Source organism: Homo sapiens, chromosome 9 (genome assembly GCF_000001405.40).
Source record: "Homo sapiens chromosome 9, GRCh38.p14 Primary Assembly".
NCBI classification, from domain to species: domain Eukaryota; kingdom Metazoa; phylum Chordata; class Mammalia; order Primates; family Hominidae; genus Homo; species Homo sapiens.
Genome location: NC_000009.12, coordinates 100,140,802 through 100,162,529, shown reverse-complemented (window position 1 = coordinate 100,162,529; position 21,728 = coordinate 100,140,802). Strand labels below are relative to the sequence as shown.

At 39.3% G+C, this 21,728-nt stretch overlaps 1 protein-coding gene across 4 annotated transcripts in view, besides 1 other annotated feature; it reads right to left on the bottom strand.

Moving 5' to 3' along the window:
- Positions 1–21,728, bottom strand: part of INVS (inversin) — a 202,933-nt gene that overhangs the window by 139,646 nt on the left and 41,559 nt on the right. The window lies entirely within an intron of this gene.
- Positions 15,853–16,511: an enhancer, noted in NCBI's record as "OCT4-NANOG-H3K27ac hESC enhancer chr9:102908301-102908959 (GRCh37/hg19 assembly coordinates)". NCBI's record gives its function as "activates a minimal SCP1, AML or CMV promoter by ChIP-STARR-seq in primed H9 embryonic stem cells {active_cell/tissue: H9 hESC(primed)}" and the evidence as "EXISTENCE:reporter gene assay evidence [ECO:0000049][PMID:30033119]".

Here is a 21,728-nt window from a genome sequence, read left to right as displayed (position 1 = left end):
TGCTTCTAGATATTGTGGTCTATATGCAATGCCTGAAATTTAGGCAGCCACCTTGAAATTAACTCCAAGGAAAGCTAGCTTAAGAGTATAAGCCAACATCCTGATTACAGCGGAGAATAAAGATTTAAAAACCCAGGTCCTTGCTAATATCATTGAGCCACTGAGTTAATCAACCCTGGATATTACCTCTTGTTATGTAAGACTGCTTGATGTGTAAAATAATAGATGTGCTTGTCATCTAAGCCACTTTTATGTTATTCGTATTAACAGAAAATGTGTATTAATGATACAAATTTCCATGATGGACCCAAATGACTATAGAGCCACCCAAGCAAATATGAAATATTTCAGGAAAGGAAATCAGTTAGAGCATAGACTGCATTTCTGAACTCTAGTTGATTGTGCTACCAGCCCGTTACTTATTATTATACCATTTAGTCTATTATTTCCGGCTCCTTTTTGTGGCCTACATGGTGCTTCATGTCAGTTCCCAGCCTTTTCTTCCAGGCTCTATCTTCTGTGTGAGATGCTCCTTGCAGGAAGTCTAACTGTTTATTACTCTGGAGGTTTTAGTTTGAAGTTTTTTTAGTTGACAAACAATGAATGGGATTGATAATTATCTTCTGGGGTCCTTGTGACCTTCCAATTTTCCCAGTTGAAGTTCTCTATCTGTAGGGTATGCTCTCCTTCCTTCAGTTTTGGGGCTTACCTTGACTCTAATCAAGGCAAGATTTAAGTCTAACTCATTAGTGAGATTAGCAAGAGTTAAATCAACCTAAGCGAAGCCTGACCAGATAATGTAATTCAGTTTTCTGTCTTGCTCCTGCAATCCAATCCTAACCTTCTGCCCCAAGGTCTAGAAAATTGATGTTCATCCACCCACCCATCCATCCATCCATCCATCCATCCATCCATCTGGCCAGCCACTCAACAGCATTATGGTCTTAGTCACTGGGGCTCCAATTATGTTCTTTGTAAACTAACTTCAAAACCTTCCTAACACCCAAATTTCCTCAATTTCCTACCTTTCGTGAGTTCTCCTAAGGAACGAATTATAAGGCCCACTTCTGGCAGACTGACAAAATTAAAGTAGATCATATTCAAATTCTTTTGGAGCACAACACTCAATTTATGAGGTTTTTTTTTTTTTTTTTTTTTTTTTTTTGAGATGGAAGTCTTGCTCTGTCGTCCAGGCTGGGCTGGAGTGCAGTGGTGCGATCTCGTCTCCTGAGTTTAAGCGATTATCTTGCCTCAGTCTCCCGAATAGCTGGGATTACAGGTGCCCACCACCACACCCAGCTAATTTTTGTATTTTTGGTACAGATAGAGTTTCACCATGTTGGCCAGACTGGTCTGAAACTCCTTATTGCAGGTGATCCCCCCAACTCGGCCTCCCAAAGTGCTGGGATTACAGGCGTGCTGGGATTACACCATGCCCAGCCAATTTATGAAATTTTTGTCATAAGAAGACAACTGCCTAGACTAAATGGTAGTAAAGGGAATGGGAAGAAAACAATAAATGTGGGATGATTGACAAACAAGATCAACAGAGCTTTTTTTTTTTTTTTTTTTTTTGAGACAGAGTCTCACTCTGTCACCCAGGCTGGAGTGTAGTGGTGTGATCTCAGCTCACTGCAACCTCCGCCTCCCGGGTTCAAGTGAGTCTCCTGCCTCAGCCTCCTGAGTAGCTGGGGTTACAGGTGCCCACCACCATGCCCGGCTAACTTTGATCAGCCTTTGATGTGTCTTGGGACTGAGGAAGACAGAAGGAGTCAAAGATTAGGGTAATATTTTGAGCCCAAATTACTGAGGAATAATACTTTTCTTCGTAACAACGGGGAAATTAACAAAGGAAGCTATGTTTTAGGTTACAGTGGGATATTTAAATGTAAATTATGGAGGGAGATAACTGAACTAAATTTAGGAAAGAGAACACAACTATAAATTCAGACTTGCAAGTCAGCCTTATGGAAGTGAAGTAGAACAACTGAGTTATGAGGAGAATGTATAAATGCAGGAAGGGACTCTATTGACTAATAAATGTGTTTCATAATCTGCACATAAATGATGAGACTAAAAAGGTAATCTGCTATGCTGTTTGGGAAGACAGTCAATTAGACATCCAGGATTTCTTGTTATTATATATCACTCTGTATTCAAAATATAGATGCATTCCATTTGAACCCTGAGGGCTACCTCATAGGGTTGTACGAGGTGTACAAATGGTGCAATGCATAACCTCTGTAGTTATCTAGCAGTCCTGTCTCAGCGGCTGACTGTGCTAAATGGTGAGCTCTTTAAAACCAATGAAGAATGTCTTCCTCACCACAAGAATCCTCCATGCGTAGAGAGTGGAACAGAATATGCCCTCAGAATATGCTTGCTGAATGAGCTCCCAGAAGGGCATTGTTTCAAGGTTCTCTTCATAGTCTTCATTTGGAAGTAGAAAGGCTTCATAAGATACATCAGAGCAAAGCCTGATGCTGCTCTGTTCATAATTTTACAGCAATCATTTGTACTTCCAGAGGCTACCCTGGTTAGAAATCATGAAGTGGGTTCTTCCCACAATACTGAGGACACATAGTTTGGGGAGATGGTCCAGGGCAGCATTTTCATTACGGTCAAGTGTGATGACAACTTCCTAGAACATCCATTCTGACAACAGCAGAATCATCAGAGTCGATTCATTAGAAGGGGATTTTGATGAATAAACCTTTAGCTACACTTTCTGAGAAGTCTCCAGAGTTATGAGGCAAAAAAATTAATTCCAACTACTCAAGCAGAGACACCTGGTAATTTCATAGTTATTAGTATAACTCAGATATAACATTTTAATAGGAGGCATCCTCAGTGATGAAGATATTTTAAATTAGTAGAAGAGAGGTGCTACAAACACCAGAGAAAACTGCCTTCTATTATAGTTTAGTCTGTATTTTTTATGTATTTGTGTTAGTGTGTTCTAGCAAATAGGAGGTAATTGGTTATGGAATTCCTATCTATAATAAAGCAATGTTCCAGGAATAGCTTTGTGTCTACCTGGTGTTATTAGTCTAAAGATTAAAAATGCTGGATATAATTTTCTCTGAAAAAAGTAAAAAACCTATTAACATAAAAAGATGTAGCTAGTAGAGCCACTCAGAGCCATTGACTATCTGTATGTCATTTACTTGGTTATCTCTGCAGAATATACTATTTATCTCCAAGCCTTTGAAAATTAATTCTGATTTTTCAATATCTAGTTCAAATTCTCTCTCCTTCATGAAACCTTCCCTAAAACTTCTCATTGAATATTCCCTTCCTCTATCTTTCCATACCATTTTGTTTGTATTCTTCTCTAGCACATATGCATTCTACCTTATACTTGAATTCTTTGTAGATTGTCTTAGTCCATTTGTATTTTTATAAAGGAATACCGGAGGCTGGGCAATTTATTTAAAAAACAGGTTTATTTGGCTTATGGTTCTGCAGGCTCTACTAAATGCATGGTGCCAGTATCTGCTTCTAATAAGGACCTCAGGAAGCTTCTAATCATGGGGGATGGTGAAGGAGCAGCAGCTATGTCACATGGTAGACAGCAGGCAAGAGAGAGAGAGGGAGAGAGAGAACGGGGAAGGATGCCAGGCTCTTCTAAACAACCAGCTATCACATGAACTAATAGAGCGAGAATTCACTCATTACCTCTGGCACCAAGCCATTCATGAGAGATCTGCTCCCATGACCCAAACACCTCCCATTAGGCCCCTCTTCCAACCACTGGGGATCAAATTTCAACGCGGGATTTGGAGGGGACAAATATTCAAACTATAGCATAAATACAGCTCATCTACTCCATCAGAGTTAACTTTGCTCACCTTTGTATTCCCCAAAGTATTTAGTCCAGAGCATGGACTAGATGATAATTATAATAGTTAATATTCACTGGGCACTATTTTGGTGCCAGGAACTGAGCTAAGTAAGAAGTTTGTGGGCACCAGTTCATTTCATTCTCATAGGAATGTGGTAATATAGGTATCATTATTATTCTCATTTTCAGATGAGGAAACTCAGAATTAAAGAGATAAATGTCACAGAGCTAATAAATAAATGAGCAGGGACTAGAATCAATATAGGTCCAACTCCAAGAACAATTCTCTACTCTTTATTCAATATACTTAGAGAATTGAAGTGTAATAAGAACTCTGTCATTGAAAGTTATAAATGAAAATATATTTTTTTCTGGAGTGCTAAAGCTTTTTGCATTACCAATCAAATCAATATTTTAAGAATGGAATGTAATATTTATGCTACAGAAAAGAGATAATAGAATTCCCCTGATCAGCTAAAATATATCCTATGAGGTCTTCACTAAACATGAGAATATAAACAAGATAGATCTACTAAGAGGAAAGAAAAACTATCATTCTTTACAAATAGGAAACTTCCCAAATAAAAGCAATACAGATGGCAGAATAATAAAAACTGGAATGAAAAATTGGATATGCTATGCCCTTATTGAGTGACAAATGTTCTGTGATATACACCACATTAAGAAATACTAAGAGATATGAAAATAAATTTAACAAATGGGTGGTGAGAACAAGTAAGCTTCTTCTGCATTAGAAACATTTAAAAGGAGACCATAAAAGTGTCAGAAAAGGTAGCATTTTGTTGTAGGAGATAATGAAAAATGATTTGGGAAATGAAGGAAAACAGGATTTAGTCTCCTCTTTGAAGCCAAAGATCTGAAACTCAGTTAAATTTCAAAGAAAATAAAACATGTAAGGAACTGCAGGAATTGCAAGGAATTGTCACCATTGAAGGGTGGCAGGAAAGTCTGGCTCAAAATAAAATTTAGAATTTTTAAAAAGTCTGTTTTTGAACTTTTTTCAGACTAAAATAATGCATGCCTCTTGTGAAAATGTTTTCCTATAATTTAAACTATGAGTTTTCTCATAATACCACTATAAGACATTTCTGCTATTTCTTGGCCGGGCACGGTGGCTCACGCTGTAATCCCAGCACTTTGGGAGGCCGAGGCGGGCGGATCACGAGGCCAGGAGATCGAGACCATCCTGGCTAACACGGTGAAACCCCGTCTCTACTAAAAATACAAAAAAAATTAGCCAGGCGTGGTGGCAGGCGCCTGTAGTCCCAGCTACTTGGGAGGCTGAGGCAGGAGAATGGCGTGAACCCAGGAGGCGGAGCTTGCAGTGAGCCGAGATTGTGCCACTGCACTCCAGCCTGGGCAACAGTGTGAGACTCTGCCTCAAAAAAAAAAAAAAAGAAAAAAAAGAAATTTTTACTATTTCTTTAAATTTTTGCAATCTATATGATACATATGTATAACTGTGGTTATTTTAAAAATTATTTATTTATAAAAACAGGTTTCTACTATACATATTCTTCTGCAGCTAGCTTTTTTTTCAGTTAACAGTATACCCTGGAGATCTTTCCATGATAGTACATATAGATTAATTTTTTAAAGTGGCTAAAAAGTATTCCACTGTATGAAAAATAGATTATATTTAACAATGAATAATTTACCTGTATTTTGCCATTATAAACAATGATGAATGAATATCCCTATATATATATGTGTGTGTGTGTATATATATATATGTATATATACATATATATTAGTTTGAGTGGTTTATAAGGTCCATTTCTAGTCACAGAATCTAGAGTCAAGGAACATGTAAACTTTTACTGCTTTTTTCTTCCTTTTTTATCTGGTTTAAAAATCTTAATACTATCTGAAGCACAAGAGCATATATTAGAAGAAAAAGAGGCAACAAGGAAACATACATATATGAAACATATGAAGGGTAAACCAGAAATCAATATAGTTGATTGTCCTCAAAAGACAGGGAAAATGAGACAGACAGGACATGGAAGTGACTGAAACTTGTAAACCTATCTTTTCATGTAGTTTCAACTTTTGAAAAAGTTAAATCAATAAGGATGGGAAGGAGGGGAAGTTAAACTGAAACACATAAAAACAACTGTATTTTAAATACACTAGCACCTTGGGAGGCTGAGGCAGGCAGATCATTTGAGGTCAGGAATTAGAGACCACTTTGGGCAACATGGCAAAACCCCATCTCTACCAAAAATACAAAAAAAATAGCCAGGTGCAGTGACTCATGCTTTTAAACCCAGCTACTTGGGAGGCTTAGGCTGGAGAATTGCTTGAACCCAGGAGACAGAGGTAGCAGTGAGCCGAGACCGCACCACTGCACTCCAGACTGAGAGACAGAGTGAGACCCTGTCTCAAAAAAAAAAAAAAAAAAAAAGTATTCCTAACTCATGGAGTTTTAACATGTTTGTTTCCATTGAAGCAACTGTATTTTTGCTACTCAAATTGTCCATCTTTGGAAGCTCCTTTAACACGGCTTCTGTGGCCCTTTGACATGACTCCAGTAGGCTTTGTTAGATATCTTGCCATCCAGCATGACCAGATGAGCCAGGCTCATTTCATATATTACTTGTCCCAATTTCTAAGCAGCCACTTCTCTAAGGAGTTCTGATTCCTTTTAGTGGTATTGAGAGACACAATCTGGGTGATGGAGGTGATCCTTCATGGGGTTAGTCATTACTTCTAGGCTTTTTCAGTAGCTAGTGCTATGAAATTCAGAAATATAAATTTTTAGCAGACACATATATCAATAGTTTATATTTGTATACTTCTTATTGAAAATCTTGGTTACTAATGAAATTGACATATTCACTTGCTTCATCTTACCTTTATATAGTGATCCACTTATTTGTGTTGTGTCAAGATAACAGTAACAGTATTATTACTAACAGTATGTTTACTGAACACATTTTAGGATTTCTTTGTAGCTGTCTTTGTCCTTAGGATGTTTCCTACCAGGACTGCAGAGTCAAATTTACTATGTTTTAAAGTCACTTGGGCTGGGCCCAGTGGCTGACGCCTATAATCCCAGCACTTTGGGAGGCCAAGGTGGGTGGATCACTTGAGGTCAGGAGTTTGAGACCAGCCTGGCCAACATGGTAAAACCCCATCTCTACTAAAAATACAAAAAATTAGCTGGGCATGGTGGTGCGTGCCTGTAATCCCAGCTACTAGGGAGGTGCAGGCAGGAGAATCACTTGATCCTGGGAGGTGGAGGATGCAGTGAGCCAAGATTGTACCACTACACTCCACCCTGGGTGAAAGAGCGAGACTCCATCTCAAAATATAAAAAATAAAAATAAAAAATAATAAATTCACTTGAATAATTCTCTCTGCAGTTAAGCTACCAACTTAATACACAGGTGTCTTTGTTTTATTTGTCTATCAATCTTTAAGGACTGCTCATTTTCTTTTTTTTTTTTTTGAGATGGAGTCTCACTCTGTTGCCCAGGCTGGAGTGCAATGGCACTATCTCGGCTCTCTGCAACCTCTGCCTCCCGGGTTCAAGCAATTCTTGTGCCTCAGCCTCCCGAGTAGCTAGGATTACTGTGCCACCAGGCCTGGCTGCTAATTTTTGTATTTTTAGTAGAGATGGGGTTTCACCATGTTGGCCAGGCTGGTCTTGAACTCCTGACCTCAAGTGATCCGCCCACCTTGACCTCCCAAAGTGCTGGGATTACAGGCGTGAGCCACTGCATCCAGGCTGTAGACACTTAAACTTTATAATTATGGAAATAATTTACGAAGTTCCAAAATCAAAACTATAGAACAAGATATACTCAGATAAGACTAGCTTCGATCCCTGTGTCCTCTACATTATCTCCTTCTCCCTTTAGGTAAGAGTCTTCATTCATTTTTCATTTACTCTTCTATCTTTTAAAAATATAAGAAAATATTTTTCTCCTCTTTCCTGGAAAAAAGGTTACACATGCTCTTTAGCACCTTACTTTTTTCTCTTAACAATAAACCTGGAGGTCACTTCATAGTTATATATAAAATAGAGAATATCATACACAATATTCTGCGCTTGCTTTTTTCATTCCAGATCATTTTATAATGTTATATAAAAACATTTCTCATTACTTCTTACAGATGCATAGCATTCCATTGTGTGAATATACTCTTTTTATGTAGCCAGCTCTCTAAAAGTACATTTGCAGGCAGGGCACGGTGGACACACCTGTAATCCCAGCACTTTGGGAGGCTGAAGAGGGCAGATGGCTTGAGCCCAAGTTTGAGACTAGTGTGGGCAACTTGGTGAAAACCCATCTCTACAAAAAAAAAAAAAAAAAAAAAAAAAAAATTAGTCGGTTGTGGTGGCACACACCTATAATCCCAGCTACTCAGGAGCCTAAGGTGGGATGATTCACTAAGCCCAAAAATGTCGAGATTGCAGTGAGCCATGATTGTGCCACTGCACTCCAGTCTGGGTAACAGAGTGAGATCCTGTCTCAAAAACAAAAACAACAAAAAAAGTGCATTTGCTTTCAAGCTTTCTCTACTACAAATAATGCTGCAATTAAATAACCCTGTGTATACATTTCTTGTTTTTACCACATATGTATAGAATAGATTCCCAGAAGTGACAGATCAAAGGTAAATGCATATTCTGGTTAATTTTGCTGGATATTGTTATGTTTCCCTCCATAAGCGTTATACCAATGCTATGGTTTGAATGTCCCTCCAAAATTCATGTTGAAATTTAATCATCGTTATGACAGTATCGAGGTGGGATCCCTAACAGGTGATTAGGCCATTGGGGCTCTGCCCTTATGAATGGATTACTGCTGTTTTCATGGGAGTAGGTTCCTGATATAAGTGAGTTTGGTCCCCCTTTTCCCTCACTTGTTCTTGCCCTCTTTTGTCCTTCTGCTTTCCACTGTGGAATGACACAGCTTGAAGTCCCTCAGCAGATGCTGATAACTTGATATTGGACTTCCCAGTCTCCAGAATTGGGAGAAATAAATTTCCTTCCTTATAAATTACCCAGTCTGTGGTATTCTGTTATTGCAACACAAAACAGGCTAAGGAAACCATTTCCATTTCCTTCAGGGATATGTGAATGCTCATTTCCCTACAGTTTTGCCATCAGAACATGTTGTCAAACTTTTGGAGTTTTGCCAATCTGAGACATGAAGCATGTTATCTCTTTGTGATTTTAATTTGTATTTCTTTTATGACGAACAATATTGAGCATATTTTCATATATTGAAGGGCCATTTCCTTTTCTGTGAACTATCTAGATATACTCTTACTCATTTTTATAGGATCATTGGTCTTTTTCTTCTCCACCTTATATATGAGGAGTATTAAACCTTTGATAATGATATAATTTGCAAATATTGTTTCCAATTTGTCTTTTTTTTTTTTTAACTTTGCTTGCCACATTTTCTGGAAGGAAAAAGTCTTTCTTATCACTATGTAGCCATATTTATTAGTCTTTTTCCTATCACTTCTATATTTTGACTTGCAGATAGAAAGTTTTCCTTACACCGAGATTCTTCACTGCAAACCTTCTTGGTATGTTTAACATTTTACAATATGTGTAAGCATTATAATCCAATTAAATAACAATTTAAAGCATGCACCTGTGTGCACCTGTACACACACACACACACACACACACACAATTAGTTAACAATCTGTACAACACTGAAATAACCAAAGTTACATACATGAAGTTTACAGTCATTACTTCAAAGTACAGTCTAATATTTCAGCCCAAATTCCTTAAAAGAAAATGGCTTGAAAAGAGATGACTGACAAAGTGACAGGAAAGACTTGAATAAAAGGACCCAAACCATATCTTCTGAAATCTGTAATTGTTTAAGATAAACTATGAGTATATGTCTAATAAATTGCCTGAAAATGAGTAGTTATATTGGTGAAATGTTAATTTTACTATTATAAAATCTGAAAGACCACATATTTAGACAAAGGTTGAATTTAAAATACTTTGAGATATAGTGTAATGCCTGATACATATTAAATACTAAAAATTTATCTGTTGAACAAATGAATGAATGAATAAATGAATGACATACCCATCAGAATTGGAATGGTGAGCAAGTGGATTCTGATAGATTATACAAAATTTTTCAAGAGGCTGAGTTAATACTGACGACATAATTTAGACAAGTATAATAAATGAATAAAACAACTTTTTAAATTAGTGAAGTTTATTTTAGTACTAGTGTTTCAATGATTAAGGTTTTCTATAAGCAGTATCTATTTTAATATCAAAGATTAGGATGAGAATCTTGGTGACTCATAAGTGGGAGAGATGACAACTATACTGAATGGCCGACTCAAGAATCAAGAGGACCTGGGTAGGTTACATGATGAACCCAATTCAATTCAGCAAGCATTGATTGAGTGTCGTTAAGTACTACTAGATATTGGAAATAAGATGACTAAGACACTCTTACATATTAAGATGTTCATCATCTGTGGAGAAATAAAACATGTAAACAAATAAATATATTTCAGTGTAAAAGGTGGTATAACAGTGGTTGAGTACACAAGGTACTGGAGGAACAAAGGATACAATGGTCAATTTTACCTAAGTATGTCTGGGAAAGTTCAAAATATGGATACAATAAGATGCTGCCTTTGGGTCCAACAACCACGGCCATATTAATATAGGACGTAGTTTAGGCAGTTGTAAGTATAAAGCAGATTTAGAGTTTTTATTTGAAAAATCTTAAATATGAATCAGCTGTATTTTGTTGCTAAAATGTCAACAGTTATAGTCATGTAACACTCTGAGCTCATCAGACTGGCATTGTATTCTGTTGTAGGTATCACATTTTCAAGGGAATTTAGACAAATATGTGCATATCTGGTGAAAATGATCAGGATGAGAAGGAAACTTGAAAGCATATTATATGAGGAATGGGTGAAGGAATAGATAGTACTAAAACTGGAGGAAAATGTCTTCACTTGGCCAGAATGATTCTTTTATAAATACATAAGTCAGACCATGTCACGTCTTTCCTCAAACCCTCCTCATCTCATTCAGAGTGAAAACATATTCTTGACAATGGCCTATAAGGCCCTACAGGATCAGGCCACCATTCTTTCTCTTTCTTCATCTCTTAGCGCTTTCCTTTTGCTCATTCATTATAAGGTATATATATATTTATTATTATTTTTTTAGACAGGGTCTCACTCTGTTGTCCAGGCTGGAATGCAGTGGTGTGATTATGGCTTACTGCAGCCTCAACCTCCTGGACTCAAGTGATACTCCCATCTCAGCCTCCTGAGTGGCTAGGACCACAGGCATGCACCACCATGCCTGGCGAATTTTTAAAAATTTTTTTGTAGAGATGGAGTCTCCCTATGTTGACCAGGCTGGTCTCAAACTCTTGGGCTCAAGTGACCCTCCCGCCTTGGTCTCCCAAAGTGCTGGGATTAAAGGCATGAAGACTAATTTATACTAATTTTCTTGTTATTTTGCAAAAATTCTAGGCATGCTCCCATCTGAAGGCCTTTGTTCTGACTGTTTCTTCTGCCTGGAATGAATGCTCTTCCCTCAGGTGTTCACATGGCTAAAGTTCTCACCTCCTTTAAGTCTTGCTTCACATGTCACCATCTCACTGAATACTATTTTGATTGCTTAATTTAAAATTACAACCTGTCTCACTGAATACTATTTTGATTGCTTAATTTAAAATTACAACCTGTCCTCCCCAGCCATCCCCTCTCTGGTTCTCTTAATCCCCCTCACTTTGGCATTTTAGTTATCATCTGTTGTCACATTTGTAAATGATCATTTGCACCTTGTGAAAGCTTAACAGCTAAAGGAGGTACAAAGAGACCTCCTTTATTGGTCCTATGATTGGTCATAGGAAAAATGTCGTGCCCAAGTGTTGACAATATTCACACTATAGGAATAATAATCATCCTGATTCCCTCTCATCCTTTTATGAGTCATAAACTATGGGTAGGAGAAAAAACAAGAAGAGGAAATTACATAAACAAATAATGGCCCTATGACATAAGGTAATTAGAAAATTAATGCTCAAATTTTCTTTAGAATTGATGTTATATACAAAATTAATTTTTAAACGGTTAAATGAAAGTAAATGGATTTGAAGTCCCTTTTTACCAGCCATAAAAATATTTGCTGGCCCTGTGCCCAGAGTTTAAAAGAAACCAGCATGAGTCTAATGAAAAACAAGCTGTAGGTTTCATCGAAATTCAATATATACTCTTTCTTTTCCTTTTAGTTTTTGATTGGTTTCCATGGGAATCTAGGCTTGTGAGATCTCTGATCTATTCATGGAAAGCAGATGCTTGTATTTTCATGACTTGGTAAAAATGGGAGTCAGAGAAGAGATGAAGATGATTAGAAAATGAAGATGATTGTAGGAAACATAATCATATTTAAAACAAAATTCCACAGCCATGTAGATTTTAAAACAAAATCTTCAAGGCTGCTCTACTATGTTTGAGAGGTATGATAAAGAAAAAACAGTGTATTTAAAGAAAGAAGCTTTGGGTTCAAATCCTGAATCTGACCTATGAGAAAGAAACCCTTCAGTACTTCTTTGGAGGTTTGACAGGAAAACTGGATCTGGGAATTACTCAAGGCCAGAAGAACAAGAAGTCTGAGAAAGTAAGCTTTAGGAAAGTATGTAAATTTTCTCCCAGTGCAGCAGTATCAGGAACACTAAGATGAGAATCAGCAAATCAGGATAATTTGTCACTCTGCAAGTGACAAGGTGACCTTGAAGAACTTTTTCAAATTATAGTTCAGTTTATGTATACAGAAAACACATAATATACAACTATTCCAACTGCTATGAAGCTACTATGAAGCTAAATGAAGTTTTTTTTCATACTAGAAACATGATAGAAAAATTCAAAGTGGCGATTTCAATCAAGATGTGTTGACATGTTATTCCTAGTGACTATACATTTTACCCATGTAAATAGAAGTACATAAACTATAATCAAAGTGTTAAAGGACAGACAGGTTTTTATTTCAACTCGTTTTGATTGGAATACTAATTTGAAAGTAACTAATAAGATCCTAAATATCTGAAAGCACCTTCTAAACTGGAAAATGAGAGGATAGGTTTAGAGATAGTTTCTACATATGGAAGAACACAAACAATGCTGGTTTAAAAACTCCAGAAGTTGGAATAAAATGAAGCAAGACTCTTTAGGACTTTCTCACTGCTTGGAGAAAGTAGCCTAGCTAGCATTGAAGTCAACTGCAAGAGCTGCCTAACATCACCATCTCAATCCAGAGGTTTCTTAAGATTCTAGGACATAAGAGTTTCAAATACTAAGATTTCCCTACATTTCTAAGTAATGTGGGCATCACAAATGTCTTTTGGTGCCTTCTTTTGGAAGCATACCAACAGTCAAAAACTCATAAACTATCACTACTTGCTTACTCTTCAGATACCCATTCGCTACATAGCTTGTGGTAGAATGGGCACTTATTAAATTGTTTTAAAATGGACTAATGAGTGGATACAGCCACAGAGATGCCTAGTAGTATCCACTGAAAATGTTTAACTAACTAAAGCAAAAGGTATGAGTAATGGCACAAAACCCATTTTTTTTTTTTTTGCTACAGTGAACATGTCTTACCTATATAACAAAAAGAGTTGAAGAAAAACAATGACAATATTTGATACATGGCAGTCTGTTACCTTCAGACAAGATTATGGGAGTTCTACTGTCACTTTAACAATATTAGTTCATTTACATAACACAGTCAAATCCCAGATCTAAAGTTGTTTTCATACATATGTTGCACCATGTAAGTCACTAAGATAAAAAATGACTTTTCTTGACATGGATGGAATGTACATGTGTTGGTTTTATAGAAAGACTGAAGTAGAGGTCGAGAATATATAAAGAATGGATGTGATTTACAATATATATTCTTCATTTAAAATGTTTTTGTAGCTTTAAATAACAGCTTTAATTAAAATCTTTTCATTTTAATGTGTTAAACATAAAATCTAATTCTTCTACTGCCTCTTCTCCTGTGCTAATATTTTACTTATGCTTCAGCTGTTTAAATGTTGCTGCACAGTTTAATTACTTTTCTTTGCACTAGAGTAATTTGTCTGGTGCTTGTTGCCTATGGCATTATATCCTTTGTAAACTTGAAGTTACCTTATGTCTATCTCTTTCCCTTGGAATTTTCTGCCATTTCCCAGTCTTGCTCAAACATGTCTATTTCTATTAACCTTTTTGCTGCCATCATTTTTAAAATAATTTACTTTTACCTTAAAATTTTTGCATAAAATGCATTCAGATGGTTCAAAAAATAATATAAAGAGGTACATAATAAAAGCTTTCTCCTACTTCTGCTCTAGTCTGCATCATTCCTTCCTCTACCCTCACTCTGGATAAATTATTTTATTAGTTTCTTATATGTCTTTAGAAAGTTTTTATATTCTTAACCTTTTTGGTTTTTTATTTCTGTTTTTTTTAGAGACACGGTCTCACTCTGTTGTCCAGGCTAGAGGGTAGTGGCACAATCATAGCTCACTACAGCCTCAAACTCCTGGACTTAACCTCCTGAGAAGCTGGGATTACAGGTGCACGTTGCCATGGCCGGCTAAATTTTTTTTTTTTTTTTTTTTTGTAGAGACAGGGTCTTGCTTTGTTGCCCAGACTGGTCTCAAACTTCTGGCTTCAAGCAATCCCCCTGTTTTGGCCTCCCAAATTACTGGGATTACAGGTGTAAGCCATGACACCTGGCCTTGTTTATTTTTTAAATTTTCTTAGCAATTTATAGTCTTAATTTTACATACTCTTATTTTTAACCCATCTCTTATTCACTTAACAATACATCTTGAAGGTATTTTCATTTTAATAGACACCATCGTCATTCTTTTCACAGTTCCCTAGTTTTCCATTGTATAAATGTACCATATTTTTTAAACCAGATTCCTTTTGATGGGCATTTGGGTTGCTTCCAACCTTGTTTTTGTAAATATTGCTGCCATAAAAAACCTTCTATATATATCATTTTTCACTTGTGCAGGCTTATTTTTAGGATAAATTACCAGAAATGGAATTGCCTGGTCAAAGGGTATATGCATTTGCAATTTAGATAACTATCCCAGGAGCAGAGTATGAAAAAACTTATTTATCCACAGCCTCACCAACACAATGAGGCAATAGGTGAGAAAAAATATTTTAGCACAGTTTTAATCTGCATGACTTTTATACGTATATTTGAACATATTTTCATATGCTTGAGGGTCATTTGAATTTCTTTTAATGTAAACTGACTGCTGATTTTTCTCTAGGTTGCTTACCAATTCCAAGGAGCAATTCATATTTGCCCTCTGTTGTAAGTGAAGATGTATTTCCCAGGTTGTCTTTGACTTTATGTTTGTGGTTCAAGAAAGTCATTTTACAGAAGACTGAGTATGTAGAGGGCCTATAGAGGTCTACAGAAGACTAAGCATATAAAACTAAGCATATAGTTGTGTTTTGCCCAATGTTATACAGTTTGTGGCAGAGTTAAGTCTATAATTGAATTAACATGTGATTAGACAGAAGAGGTAAAGGGGAAAGAAGAGAATGATAACAATTCAACACATTAATTTAATAAATCCATTCAACCAACATATATTTAGCACCTACTACATGCCATGCAGTTTTTAAACTCCAGTGACTAAAAGAATACAGTACCATAAGTTGATGAAGGACAATCAAATGAAGGAATTGAAAACAGGTACTCAAACAAGTATATGTACACCTACGTTGACGGAAGCACTATTCACAATAGTGGAAACAGCACTTGGATGAAGGAATAAATAAATTGCGGTATATACACACAACAGAAAATATTATTCATCCATATGTTAGCTATATATTGTCAACTAGAAGCTTATTCTAATATACTACCTCTGTTATTTTCTCTTTCCTTTCTAAATCACTTAATTTCACCTAACAAACTGTCTTTTAAACTCTAGACTCATTTAAAAAATTTAATAATTAAATATAGTGTCACTGGTTTTATAAAAGAAAATATTATTCAACCATAAAAATGAATGAAGTACTGATACATGTGACAGCTTGGATGAACCTCAAAAACATTATCCTAAGTGAAAAAAAGCCAGACACAAAGTGTCAGGCCTCTGAGCCCAAGCTAAGCCATCATATCTCCTGTGACCTGCACGTACACATCCAGATGGCTGGTTCCTGCCTTAACTGATGACATTCCACCACAAAAGAAATGAAAATGGCCTGTTCTTGCCTTAACTGATGACATTATCTTGTGAAATTCCTTCTCCTGGCTCATCCTGGCTCAAAAGCTCCCCTACTGAGCACCTTGTGACCCCCACTCCTGCCAGAGAACAACCCCCCTTTGACTGTAATTTTCCTTTACCTACCCAAATCTTACAAAACGGCCCCACCCCATCTTCCTTCACTGACTCTCTTTTCAGACTCAGCCCGCCTGCACCCAGGTGAAATAAACAGCCTTGCTGCTCACACAAAGCCTGCTTGTTGGTCTCTTTACACAGATGCGCATGAAATTTGGTGCTGTGACTCGGATCGGGGGGACCTCCCTTGGGAGATCAATCCCCTGTCCTCCTGCTCTTTGCTCCGTGAAAAAGATCCACCTACGACCTCGGGTCCTCAGACCCACCAGCCCAAGGAACATCTCACCAATTTTAAATCAGGTAAGCCGCCTCTTCTTAATCTCTTCTCCAACCTCTCTCACTATCCCTCAACCACTTTCTCCTTTCAATCTTGGTACCACCCTTCAATCTCTCCCTTCTCTTAAGTTCAGTTCCTTTCCTTTTCTGGTAGAGACAGGAGACGCGTTTTATCCGTGGACCCAAAACTCCGGCGCTGGTCACAGACTAGGGAAGACAGTCTTCCCTTGGTGTTTAATCACGTGGGGACGACTGCCTGATTACTCACCCACGTTTCAGAGGTGTCTGACCACACGGGGACGCCTGCCTTGGTCCTTCACCCTTAGCAGCAAGTACTGCTTTTCTGGGGGGCAAGAACCTCCCAACTCCTTCTCTCTGTGTCTCTACCCCTTCTCTGCTTTTTCAGGGGGGCAAGAACCCCCCAACCCCTTCTCCTTCACCCTTAGTGGCAAGTACCACTTTTCTAGGGGGCAAGAACCCCCTGATCCCTTATTTCCATGCCCCAACCTCTTATCTCTGTGCCCCGATCCCTTAATTCCATGCCCTGACCTCTTATCTTTGCACCCCAATCCCTTATTTCCATGCCCTGACTTCTTATCTCTGCACCCCATCCCTTATTTCCACGCCCCAACCTCTTATCTCTGCGCCCTGATCCCTTATTTCTGTGCCCTGACCTCTTATCTCTGCACCCCAACCCCTTATATCTCCATGCCCCGACCCCTTTCCTGCTTTTCTGGAAGGTAAGAACCCCCAAACCCCTTCCCTCCGTGTCTCTACTCTGTTCTCTGGGCTTGCTTCCTTCACTATGGGCAACCTTCCACCCTCCATTCCTCCTTCTTCTCCCTTAGCCTGTGTTCTCAAGAACTTAAAACCTCTTCAACTCACACTTGACCTAAAACCTAAACAACTTATTTTCTTCTACAATGCCGCTTGACCCCAATACAAACTCAACAGTGGTTCCAAATAGACAGAAAACGGCACTTTCGATTTTTCCATCCTACAAGATCTAGATAATTCTTGTTGTAAAATAGGCAAATGGTCTGAGGTGCCTGACGTCCAGGCATTCTTCTACACGTTGTTCCCTCCCTAGTCTCTGTTCCCAATGTGATTCCTCCCCAATCCTCCTTCTTTCCCTCCTGGCTGTCCCCTCAGTCCCAACCCCAAGCGTCGCTGAGTCTTTCCAGTCTTCCTTTTCTACAGACCCATCTGACCTTTCCCCTCCTCCCCAGGCTGCTTGTCGCCAGGCCGAGCTAAGTCCCAATTCTTCCTCAGCCTCAGCTCCTCCACCCTATAATCCTTCTATCATCTCCCCTCCTCACACCCAGTCTGGCTTACAGTTTTGTTCCGCGACTAGCCCTCCCCTACCTGCCCAGCAATTTCCTCTTAGGAAAGTGGCTGGAGCTAAAGGCATAGTCAAGGTTAATGCTCCTTTTTCTTTATCCGACCTCTCCCAAATCAGTTAGCCTTTAGGCTCTTTTTCATCAAATATGAAAAACCCAGCCCAGTTCATGGCTCGTTTGGCAGCAACCCTGAGACGCTTTACAGCCCTAGACCCTAAAAGGTCAAAAGGCCATCTTATTCTCAATATACATTTGATTACCCAGTCAGCTCCTGACTTTAAATAAAGCTCCAAAAATTAAATTCCGGCCCTGAAACCCCACAACAGGACTTAATTAACCTCGCCTTCAAGGTGTACAATAATAGAAAAAAGTTGCAATTCCTTGCCTCCACTGTGAGACATATCCCAGCCACATCACCAGCACACAAGAACTTCCAAACACCTGAACCACAGCAGCCAGGAGTTCCTCCAGAACCTCCTCCCCAAGAAGCTTGCTACAAGTGCCGGACATCTGGCCACCGGGACAAGGAATGCCCGCAGCCCAGGATTCCTCCTAAGCCGTGTCCCATCTGTGTAGGACCCCACTGAAAATCAGACTGTTCAACTCACCTGGCAGCCACTCCCAGAGCCCCTAGAACTCTGGCCCAAGGCTCTCTGAGTGACTCCTTCCCAGATCTTCTCGGCTTAGCAGCTGAAGACTGACACTGCCCGATCGCCTCGGAAGCCCCCTAAACCATCACGGACGCCGAGCTTCAGGTAACTCTCACAGTGGAAGGTAAGTCCGTCCCCTTCTTAATCGATATGGAAGCTACCCACTCCACATTACCTTCTTTTCAAGGGCCTGTTTCCCTTGCCTCCATAACTGTTGCAGGTACTGACGGCCAGGCTTCTAAACCTCTTAAAACTCCCCAACTCTGGTGCCAACTTAGACAATACTCTTTTAAGCACTCCTTTTTAGTTATCCCCACCTGCCCAGTTCCCTTATTAGGCCGACACTTTAACTAAATTATCTGCTTCCCTGACTATTCCTGGGCTACAGCCACACCTCATCGCTGCCTTTTCCCCCAGTTCAAAGCCTCCTTCACATCCTCCCCTTGTATCTCCCCATCTTAACCCACAAGTATAAGACACCCCTACTCCCTCCTTAGTGACCGATCCTGCACCCCTTACCATCCCATTAAAACCTAATCACCCTTACCCTGCTCAATGTCAATATCCCATCCCACAGCACGCTTCAAAAGGATTAAAGCCTGCTATTACTCGCCTGCTACAGCATGGCCTTTTAAAGCCTATAAACTCCCCTTACAATTCCCCCATTTTACCTGTCCTAAAACCAGACAAGGCTTACAGGTTAGTTCAGGATCTGCGCCTTATCAACCAAATTGTTTTGCCTATCTACCCCGTGGTGCCAAACCCATATACTCTCCTATCCTCAATACCTCCCTCCACAACCCATTATTCTGTTCTAGATCTCAAACATGCTTTGTTTGCTATTCCTTTGCACCCTTCATCCCAGCCTCTCTTCGCTTTCACTTGTACTGACCCTGACACCCATCAGGCTCAGCAAATTACTTAGGCTGTACTGCTGCAAGGCTTCACAGACAGCCCCCATTACTTCAGTCAAGCCCAAATTTCTTCCTCATCTGTTACCTATCTCAGCATAATTCTCATAAAAACACACGTGCTCTCCCTGATTATCGTCTCCGGCTAATCTCCCAAACCCCAATCCCTTCTACAAAACAACAACTCCTTTCCTTCCTAGGCATGGTTAGTAAGGTCAGAATTCTTACACAAGAGCTGGGACCACGTCCTATAGCCTTTCTGTCCAAACAACTGGACCTTACTGTTTTAACCCAACCCTCATGTCTGCATGCAGCGGCTGCCGCTGCCTTAATACTTTTAAAGGCCCTAAAAATCACAAAGTATGCTCAACTGACTCTCTACAGTTCTCATAACTTCCAAAATCTATTTTCTTCCTCATACCTGATGCATATACTCTCTGCTCCCTGGCTCCTTCAGCTATATTCACTCTTTGTTGAGTCTCCCACAATTACCATTGTTCCTGGCACGGACTTCAACCCGGCCTCCCACATTATTCTGGATACCACACCTGACCCTCATGACTGTATCTCTCTGATCCACCTGACATTCACCCCATTTCCCCGTATTTCCTTCTTTCCTGTTCCTCACCCTAATCACATTTGGTTTATTGATGGCAGTTCCACCAGGCCTAAATGCCACTCACCAGCAAAGGCAGGCTATGCTATAGTATCTTCCACATCTATCATTGAGGCTACCGCTCTGCCCCCCTCCACTACCTCTCAGCAAGCCGAACTAGTTGCCTTAACCCAAGCCCTCACTCTTGCAAAAGGACTATGCGTCAATATTTATACTGACTCTAAATATGCCTTTCATATCGTGCACCACCATGCAAGAAGTTTCCTCACTAAACAAGGGTCCTCTATCATTAATCCCTCTTTAATAAAAACGCTTCTCAACGCCGCTTAACTTCCAAAGGAAGCTAGAGTCATTCACTGCAAGGGGCATCAAAAGGCATCAGATCCCATTGCTCTAGGCGACGCTTACGCTGATTAGGTGGCTAGACAAGCAGCTAGCATTCCAACTTCTGTCCCTCACAGCCAGTTTTTCTCCTTCACGTCAGTCACTCCCACCTACTCCCCCACTGAAACTTCCACCTATCAATCTCTTCCCACAGAAGGCAAATGGTTCTTAGACCAAGGAAAATATCTCCTTCCAGCCTCACAGGCCCATTCTATTCTGTCGTCATTTCATAACCTCTTCCATGTAGGTTACAAGCCGCTAGCCCGTCTCTTAGAACCTCTCATTTCCTTTCCATCCTGGAAATCTATCCTCAAAGAAATCACTTCTCAGTGTTCCATTTGCTATTCTACTACCCCTCAGGGATTGTTCAGGCCTCCTCCCTTTCCTACATATCAAGCTCGGAGATTTGCCCCTGCCCAGGACTGGCAAGTTGACTTTACTCACGTGCCCCGAGTCAGAAAACTAAAATACCTCTTAGTCTAGGTAGACGCTTTCACTGGATGGGTAGAGGCCTTTCCTACAGGGTCTGAGAAGGCCACCGCGGTCATTTTTTCCCTTCTGTTAGACATAATTCCTCGGTTTGGCCTTCCCACCTCTATACAGTCTGATAGCAGACCGGCCTTTATTAGTCAAATCAGCCAAGCATTTTTTCAGGCTCTTGGTATTCAGTGAAACCTTTATTTCCCTTACGGTCCTCAGTCTTCAGGAAAGGTAGAATGGACTAACGGTCTTTTAAAAACACACCTCACCAAGCTCAGCCACCAACTTAAAAAGGACTAGACAATACTTTTACCACTTTCCCTTCTCAGAATTCAGGCCTGTCCTCAGAATGTTACAAGGTACAGCTCATTTAAGCTCCTGTATAGATGCTCCTTTTTATTAGGCCCCAGTATCATTCCAAGACCAACTTGGACTGTGCCCCAAAAAACTTGTCATCCCTACTATCTTCTGTCTAATCATACTCCTATTCACTGTTCTCAACTACTCACACATGCCCTGCTCTTGTTTACACTGCTGGTTTACACTGTTTCTCCAAGCCATCACAGCTGATATCTCCTGGAGCTATCCCCAAACTGCCACTCTTAACTCTTGAAGTAAATAAATAATCTTTGCTGGCAGAACTATGCTGAACCTCCTTAGGCACTCTCTAATTAAATGTCCTAGGTCCTCCCAATTCTTAGTCCTTTAATACCTGTTTTTCTCCTTCTCTTATTCCATTTAGTTTTTCAATTCATACAAAACCGTATCTAGGCCATCACCAGTAATTCTAAATGACGAACGTTTCTCC